General features: G+C 37.6%; 1 pseudogene; it reads right to left on the bottom strand.

Moving 5' to 3' along the window:
- Positions 419-4,454, bottom strand: MAPK6P2 (mitogen-activated protein kinase 6 pseudogene 2; annotated as a pseudogene).

Here is an 8,938-nt window from a genome sequence, read left to right on the forward strand (position 1 = left end):
TTCAGACCATATAGGGTAACTTCCTGATGTGGCCATGGCATTTGTAAACTGTCATGGCGCTGGTGGGAGTGTAATAGTGAGGGCCACCAGAGGACACTCTCATCGCCATCTTGGTTTTGGTGGGTTTAGGCCAGCTTCTTTACTGCAACCTGTTGTCTTAGCAGGATCTTTATGACCTGTATCTGGTGCGGACCTCCTATCTTATTCTGTGACTTAGAATGCCTTAATCATTTGAGAATGCAGCTCAGTAGGTCTCAGTCTCATTTTACCCAGCCCCTATTCAAGATGGAGTTGCTTTGGTTCAAATGCCTCTGACAGAACCAGCCCATTAGAGAGGTTCTTTTGGACTGCTCCTAGGCTGTAGGCCTCAGGAATAATTCTCAGGAAGACTTCCAGATAAAACTAGCTTTTTTTCTTTGCTTTGTTTTTGTGGGCCATGTTTTATTTGTCCTTTTTCCTCAAACAGGATAACAAAAGATACAGACTATTCAATACAATGAAATAGACAAAACAAATTCTAAGAGACTGTGATACCACATGCTACATTTAATCTTATTTTATTCATGTTTGCCTTGGGATGGGGAATAGACCATTCAGTAAAAACATACAGTAAAATCAAAATGTCGTATCATATACAACTTTTAAACTACAATAATGATGGACTTTAATTATTTCCACACACACAATTTTAACATTAGCTTTTTAAATAAACACAAGACTTCTAGGAGTAATTTATAATAAAGTAATTCCTAATTTTTCTTTATAGATAAATTCCTATATACAGTGATTTCTTCATAGACAAATTCCTATATACAGTGATCGTTTACTTAAAATAAACACGTAAGTAAATTAAGTACATGGACATGCTTAAGATGAGCTAACATTATATATTCAGTTAGGTAGGCAACAAGCTGTAGTGCCAGATGGAGTAAGTGTATTTGCAAATAAATTTTAAAAACTAAGTTACTTTTTATAATTAAATACAGAAAATATACTGATTTGCTAAAATAAATAAGATGTGATATATTAACACTTCACTATAAAGAATGCATACCAGAATATTCATAAACAGTAAATGAGTCTTATTAAGAATAGTTTACTAAAATAAATGCTGGCTAAATAGATGTGCATATTGTGAAGCACTATGAGTGGTATATGTTTTGCCACATACTTCTGTTATCTTGAGCTAGATAACACATGTGTACTCAATTCAGCAGTCATTTTCAGTTGTTACTGGTATCATATGTTTTAAGAAATGTGTACAGTGTGAAAAACTTAAAAAATATTCATGAATAAAAAATGTTTTAGAAAAAATAGATATTTTCAGGCAATTATGTAGAGTCTCACTGCGTAAATTTCAAGGTAAGATTTGTTTCCTATAAAACGGATCATTGTTCTACGAGAGGATGTTTTTTACTTGTCTTAGTGCATTTCTTTTGCCTCCTCTAGCATTGCATTATTTTGCTCTTTGCTTATTTTTGTGTGCAAACGACATGCCAGTTAAAATGAAAACTACCTCATATGTAGAAAATAAGGTCTGGATTTTAAAAACCAAGAGCTAATCCTTACTAAATTACACCATCTGATTCAAGTAAAAAATGACTTAAACACTAGTGATAAAATAAAGGCAAAACACATTTCATGAAGAATGCAAAGATAAATGTTTGCTGAGTGCTTTAGTTCACATGTTTTAAAATGCTGCTGCAGGTTTTATGAGGAATTTGAGGGGAAGATTCCATAGCAGAAGGTGGTAATGTGGCCTGTATTGACTTAAGTAGTGACCCAACTGGACTGCGAAGCTGCAGGACGCCCACGGACTCGAGGTGCTTGCTAAAGAGGAACTCCAAACTGTTGTTCAGAAATCCTTCATTTCCTCTCTCCCCAAGCTTCCCATCCTCTACTAGCTCAGTTTCTAGTATTTCAGTATCTTCTTTCCTGTTAAATAACTTGTCTAAGTAACTAGTGTAAATGTCGTCCTCCTCAACTCCTTCACACTTCCTTACCTCACAACAAAACTAATTTGTGATAAAATAGTTCTCCCCACCACTCACAAACTGGCTGTCCCAAGAAGATTGGTACAAGACTTCTAACTGAGCCAAATTTGCCATTCCTTTTTTCTGTTTTTCTTGGCTTACTGTCTTTGTTATCAAATTTTTCATTTCTAGTTGGGACCTTGACCTATTCGAGTTATTTCATTTCTCAACAACATCAGTAGGCTCATGTTGTGAACTAGGTTGAGTAGTTTCTGCAATAAAGGAATCAAAATCAAACCCCTGATTTTTTTCCCTTTGTTTTTCAACCAGTTGCTGTGAGGCTTCCTCAAGCGCTATCTGGGCTTTAACCAATCCATTCCTTTCACATTTTCACTTGCCTTTCTTATCAGATTTTTCTCTGCTTTATTCTTTCCGATTGGAAATATCTATAATAACCTTGGGTTCATAGTAATGGTTAACTTCACTCGCTCTCCAAACTAAGTTATCTAAATATGATGATGACCTGGCTTTGTAGTTACAAATATGACTACACTTCAAATCCCTATTTGTTTTTATGATGATCTGGGTACTGCCAAAAAGGCTCAGTAGAGCAATTGGATCCTCCAGATACTTTATGCTTTTCCGAATGTCCATCCAAATATTTTCAGGGATCAACTCGTACTTCTTCATCAGTGATATCAGACAGAGCTCTCAGGTCAAGCAGAACTTCATCAATACCAAAGTTGTTATGTATAGGCCAATCATGCACTGAAAACTAACAATCATACCTTTCCCAGTTATAAATGTGACTGTGAGTTTCATCCATAAGCAAAATATCATAAACTTCATCTTCAATATGAAAAAGATGACTTGAAATTGGCTCATCCGTTGGAAAATAATATATGCTCATGTAATGATGGGAGAGCGCTTCTTCTGCTGTTAACCCATCTGTAGGGATAAATGTCAAAATTTGTTCCAGGAGATCCAGTGCTTCTCAGCTAATTCCCTGAAGCAGCTGAGTTAAAGGTTTCTGTGGTTCAGTCATTTCATTTCTAATGTAAACTGGAATTACACTGAGAAGCTCCTGATGATCTTCCTCATGTATAACAGGACTAGATTCTAAAATCAGCTGCATCTGTTCGAGTTCACGTGCACCTGCAAAAAGGGTTTTACCAGTCAGCATTTCAGCAAAGATGTGGCCTGCAGTCCACATGTCAATGGCTTTACTATAACTATTAGAAGAATGTAAAAGATGTGGAGATCTGTACCATTTAGTTACCAGTCCTTCAGAGAGATGATCCTTATGGGAATAATGAGGATCCATGATTTGTGCAAGACAAAAGTCCCCTATCTTCAGCATCATGTCTTCAGTATTAATGAAAAGATTAGTTGGTTTGAGATATCTGGGCAATACACTTGCAGAGTGAATACTTAAGCCACGTTAGCAGCTGATACATGAAAAGTCTGGCATGCTTTTCCAGTAAAGGGCCCTCCTCCATCATATTAGCCAAGTCTGTCTCCATGTAATTCTGAAAAATGTAAATACTGTTAAGTTTGGTAAGAGAGTTCACATTGTTTGTTAATTGGCTTCCACTGGTACTAGGAATTTCAAACACTTTCACAATGTCACGATGTCAAATCTTCTAATAATTTTGATTTCATGTAGAGCATTTTTGACACTCTGGGGATCAGTAAGGAGAATTTTCTTGATGGATTCTCTTTTATCACAGTCATCGTCTACAGCAGAAAAAAAAAGTTTTCCTTTTGAATTGTTGAACTTGTGTAAACAAGGAAGAAAACTGACATCAAAAGGAAAGATCTTTTATACAGGCAGAAGAAAAATAATTATGCTTCCACAGCAAGATGATTTCTTGATGTTCATTGCATTTTCCAAACAGGCTTGTTCAGTTCCCCTTAGATATAAAGCTCAAAAAGCTCTACTCATATTGAGAATTTAAGAGATTGCAGTACTCATAGTTCAAGAAAGGGGCAGCAGCTCTGCAGACATTTAAATAAAACACTCAAGAAGCTCAAATGGAATGAAATTATGTACTATGCACCCAGATTTACTGTGATAAATGATTTAACATTTAACAAAAATATGAATAAATATGCACACAACGCAACAGGCTTCTGTGAACATTCTCCTCACAGTGCAGACACATTCAGTGTTGGACTGGCCCTGAGCAGCATTGTTCTAAGGTGCTGGTAAGCACTGTTTCCATTTTGTTTCTTTTCTTCCTTTGTTGCTATATATTTCACCAGAAAGCCCTGGCGGCTGTTGGTTAACAGATGTCTTTTGTTAGTGATCAGGTGGCTCCGGCTCACCACAATCACAACCAAAGCTACTGTCCGTCTTACTCTGATCCAACGGGACTTCCACTCATCGAGAGGGTGTGGGCCCATGGACAGCCCCCAGCGTGGGCTCACGTCTCCAGCTGTACTGGCAGCAGCAGCTGCTTTGCCACAGTTGCTGCCATGCCAAACTCTATTTCTCTAAAAGTTTGACGTTTTCTTCAGTTGGCAATATTTATTTGAAAAGGAAGTGAAAGTGAAGTATTAAAATACAGTGAGAGATGTAATTCTCAAATGCCTCCCATGAACCAGCAGTATCAGCGTTACCCGGGAACTCAGTAATTTAAATGTTTGTGCCCCATTCCAGACCTTTAAAACATGAATCTGAGGACAAGGCCCTGAAATTTGCTATAACGAGCCTTTCAAATGATTCCGATTTGCTTAAAGGTTTGAAAATCACGGACATACGGAGTAAAATGGAGATGTTTATGAATAGGGCTCATGTAACTTAGCAAATTTTGCCGGTTAGAAAGGCTCTTTGCTGTTTATCTAGTTGTTTCATTGTTTTAATTAATTAATTTATTTATTTTTTGAGACAGAGTCTTGCTCTGTTGCCCAGGCTGTAGTGCAGTAGCACGATCTTGGCTCACTGCAACTTCCACCTCCCGGGTTCAAGCGATTCTCCTCCCTCAGCCTCCCAAGTAGCCGGGAGTACAGGCATGTGCCACCAGACCCGGGTAATTTTTGTATTTTTAGTAGAAACAGGGTTTCATCATTTTAGCCAGGCTTGTTTCAAACTCTTGATCTCAGCTGATCCTCCCCCATCAGTCTTCCAATGTGCTGGGATTGCAGGCGTGAGCCACCGCGACCAGCCCACATCATACTTAAAATGTATGATAACAATAGCACAAAGAATGGATGGGAGAAAATGAAAATACAATGTTTTCAGGTCCTTATTCTGAAATTAATGGAATATAAAATTATCAGAAGGTAGATACTGAATAACTATAGATGTATATTTTAAATTAGCCTGCCAACGCGCCCAGCTAATTTTTAATTTTTTTTAATTTTTAGTAGAGATGGGGTTTCCCCATGTTGGCTAGGCTTGTCTTGAGCTCCTAACCTCAGGTAATCCCCCTGCCTTGTCCTCCCAAAGTGCTGAGATTACAGGTGTGAGCCACTGCGCCCAGCCTGTTTATTTTAATTTAAGGATTATCTTAATATACAGGTCATGAAGGTTTAGAGATACTTGATTTTGCTAAGCAATTCAAAAAGAAATGATGCAGAAATCAAAAGGACACTATTAATTTCCTAAAATAGATTAATATTTAAATAAAGTCTTTGCTATGAAAACAGAAAACACTCCAGGTATTTAAATTACAGTGAAATTTAAGCCAGAAGCAGTGGTGTATGCCTGTAGTCCCAGCCACTCAGGAGGCTGAAGCAAGAGGGTTGTTTGAGCTCAGGAACTAGAAACCAGCCTAGACAAAACAGCAAGACCCTGTTTTAAAAAAACAAAAAAACAAAAAAAAAAAAAAAAAAAAAAAAAAAAACTGTGGGACAGAGTCCAAGGTGTGAGGATTAATAGAGCCCAGGAGTTTGAGAACAGCCTGGTCAACATAAAGACATACCAATTCTACAAAAAAAAAAAAAAAAATCAGTTATAATTAACAAATTAGCTGGGTGTGGTGCCATGTACCTATAGGCCCAGCTACTCAGGAGGCTGAGGCAGGAGGATTGCTTGAGCCCTGGAGATTGAGGCTGCACTGAGCTGTGGTTGCACCACTGCACTCCAGCCTGGTTGACAGAATAATTTAAAAATGGGATATATACAGGAAACTTGTTTTCTTTAAAAGTATTGGAAAAGGATAAGGAACAGCTATCAGGAGGAATCATGGGAGGAAATCTGGAAGTGTAGAAATCAGGGAAGTTATTTCCAGTGGTCCAGCTGCCTGCATCATTAAGAAGAGCTGTACTCTAGGGAATTAGCCACTCAAACAGCATTTCTTCAATGTGTTCAGCACTTGCCATATCTGCAGGGGTAGGAAATGAATGATGTCTGCTTTCCTTCCAATTTCCAAACCTTTTATATGCTCCTCTGATTCTATCATCTATATTGGAATCCTACTGGCAAGGGAGTCCAGGAAATGTAGTTCCTAGATGTCCAGTGCTTGACACACAGCAAGACATTAAAAGGGCAATAGCTGTTTTAATACAAAAAGAAAACATTCCACACAACCAGTCTACCTCTCTGGATGATCAGCTTTGAAACACACCTTTCTATCTACATTAAAGTATAGAAACAATCATAATAAAATCATGTATATGTTCCAAGTATAATTGCATAAGTGAACAAAAGATCATTCTTTTCCTTAAAAGGAAAGACACGAAAACCCATCAATTATTGGAGTCATATCTGGGTGCTCTAGAGAATGTTCTGGTTTGCCAACATACACCCGTTACCCCATAGGAGTCTCATTTCTTTATGATATTCAGGATCAATCACCACCATGGCCATATGGAACCACAGATAGCCAGATGAACAGGAAGATATCAGAACAGGTAGGACAAAATATCAGCTTCTAGTTCAATCAAACCTTTGTTGTGTTCTCTTTTGGAAGCACTCCTATCTTGCAGACAACAAGACCTCTAAATAAAAAGAGGACAAAGATGGAAAAATAAAAAGTAAGAATAACTGAGAGTGCAAATAAAAGTAGTAGTGAGAGAGTATTCTGTTTGCATCTCTTGTTTCTCATATCTATGTTCCGGCTTCAGTAAAACTACCAAAATACCAAGTCTGTGGCATATTCCTCATAGATTGGTAACCTAAATATGTAAGCTCTTATAACCTAGTTGTGACATGACTTAGATTTATTATTCTGTTACAACTCTTTCTATATATAGCAAAACCATTAGTTGTGGTAGGTGTTGCTCATTGCCTTTTTTGCTATAAAATGATTAACTTGTCAAAAGCAGTATTGTTTGAAGTAGCACAACAATTAGTAAGATATTCACTCAATCTACATTTGGGCAAAAGCATTGGAAGCAAGGAAAGTAACTAATATTAACATTAATTTTATTTTCTAACACAAAAAATAAAATATTGAAAAAGGTTCAATATTATCAACCTGCCACCATGTAGCCAGTTTGTTCTTTCATGGAGAGGGAGCATACTAGTGGTTCCGCTTTGGCTCCTACCCTTGGCAGATTGGGCACTCAGAAATAGTGACAGGTGTCATGAGAGGTCATGAATTAATGAACAAGCATGGTATGGCTGAGAATAGAAGCTGACAATCATATAGAGAACTGGATAATTGGTTCTCTTGATTATCAAAACCCTCCCCTACAGTGGGTGAACTTTGATGAGCTTCCAAATAGAACACAAATCATGCTCAAAATATCCATCTTACTATCAGCATAAAACCATCACAAGTATTCATGTCAACAATCCATGACCATGCACTAAACTATTCCTTATTATCTAAAAATCAGTATATATCTTACTTGTGCTCATATTTTATGCAAAGAAAATTGAGCAACAAGCTTCACTTTTGACATGCCAAACATTGGGAGGATGTCCTTCCAGTTTTTTCACATAACCACATAGGTATGCCATTGTAATGCAGCATCATACCTCTTCAACTGATGCCACAACCTTCTAAAATCTACGAATAAGATTTTGTTTATTTTTTTGATTTTTCCTCAGACACATTTTATGAACTCTCCATGAGCCCATAAGAGGGGACTGATGGACAAATATGAATATACCATAAGTAGGTACCCAGAAGTTGAAGTCGTTTTCAAGAGTTGTAAATGGCCTGAGATTTTAACCAACTTGCAAGCTAACAAATTTGGGTGCCAGAGTCTCATGGATATTGGTGACTAACATCCATTGGTCAGAGATGAAGAGAAGTTAATTACTCATGGAAATTACAGTTGCCAGAGTGTCAACATATTTTACTAATTGCCCAAGCCCAGATGTTCCCAGGACAATGACAAGAGGATCAGATGACACCATCACCCACAATGAGTTCCATTGCAAGAAAGGAACCCTCAGCTCTGGGAACCCTGATATTTTATACTGGGCCTTAAACATGGCTTTCCTTTGTTCTTGAAAAATATATATTTATTATACGAGACAATAAACATACCTGTCCTTTGCTGTGGAGAGAGTAATTGAAGTACATATACATGACAAATAAATTGTATCTAGAATATATATTTTTATTTATTTGTTTATTTTTGTTTTGTTTTGTTTGAGACAGAGTCTCGCTCTATTGCCCAGGCTGGAGGGCAGTGGCACGATCTTGGCTCACTGCAAGCTCTGCCTCCCGGGTTCACGCCATTCTCCTGCCTCAGCCTCCTGAGTAGCTGGGACTACAGACAGCCACCACCACGCCCAGCTAAATTTCTTTTTGTGTTTTTAGTAGAAACGGGGTTTCACCGTGTTAGCCAGGATGGTCTTGATCTCCTGACCTCATGATCTGCTCACCTCAGCCTCCCAAAGTGCTGGGATTACAGGTGTGAGCCACCACACCTGGCCCAGAATATATATTTTTAAAAGCCCTTCTAACTCAATAGTATGTAGACTAATAACTCAAAACATAGGCAAATATTTTGAACAAACATTTCACTAAATATACAGAAACGTAACCACATAAAAGCATGTT

This window comes from Homo sapiens, chromosome 21, assembly GCF_000001405.40.
Source record: "Homo sapiens chromosome 21, GRCh38.p14 Primary Assembly".
NCBI lineage: Eukaryota > Metazoa > Chordata > Mammalia > Primates > Hominidae > Homo > Homo sapiens.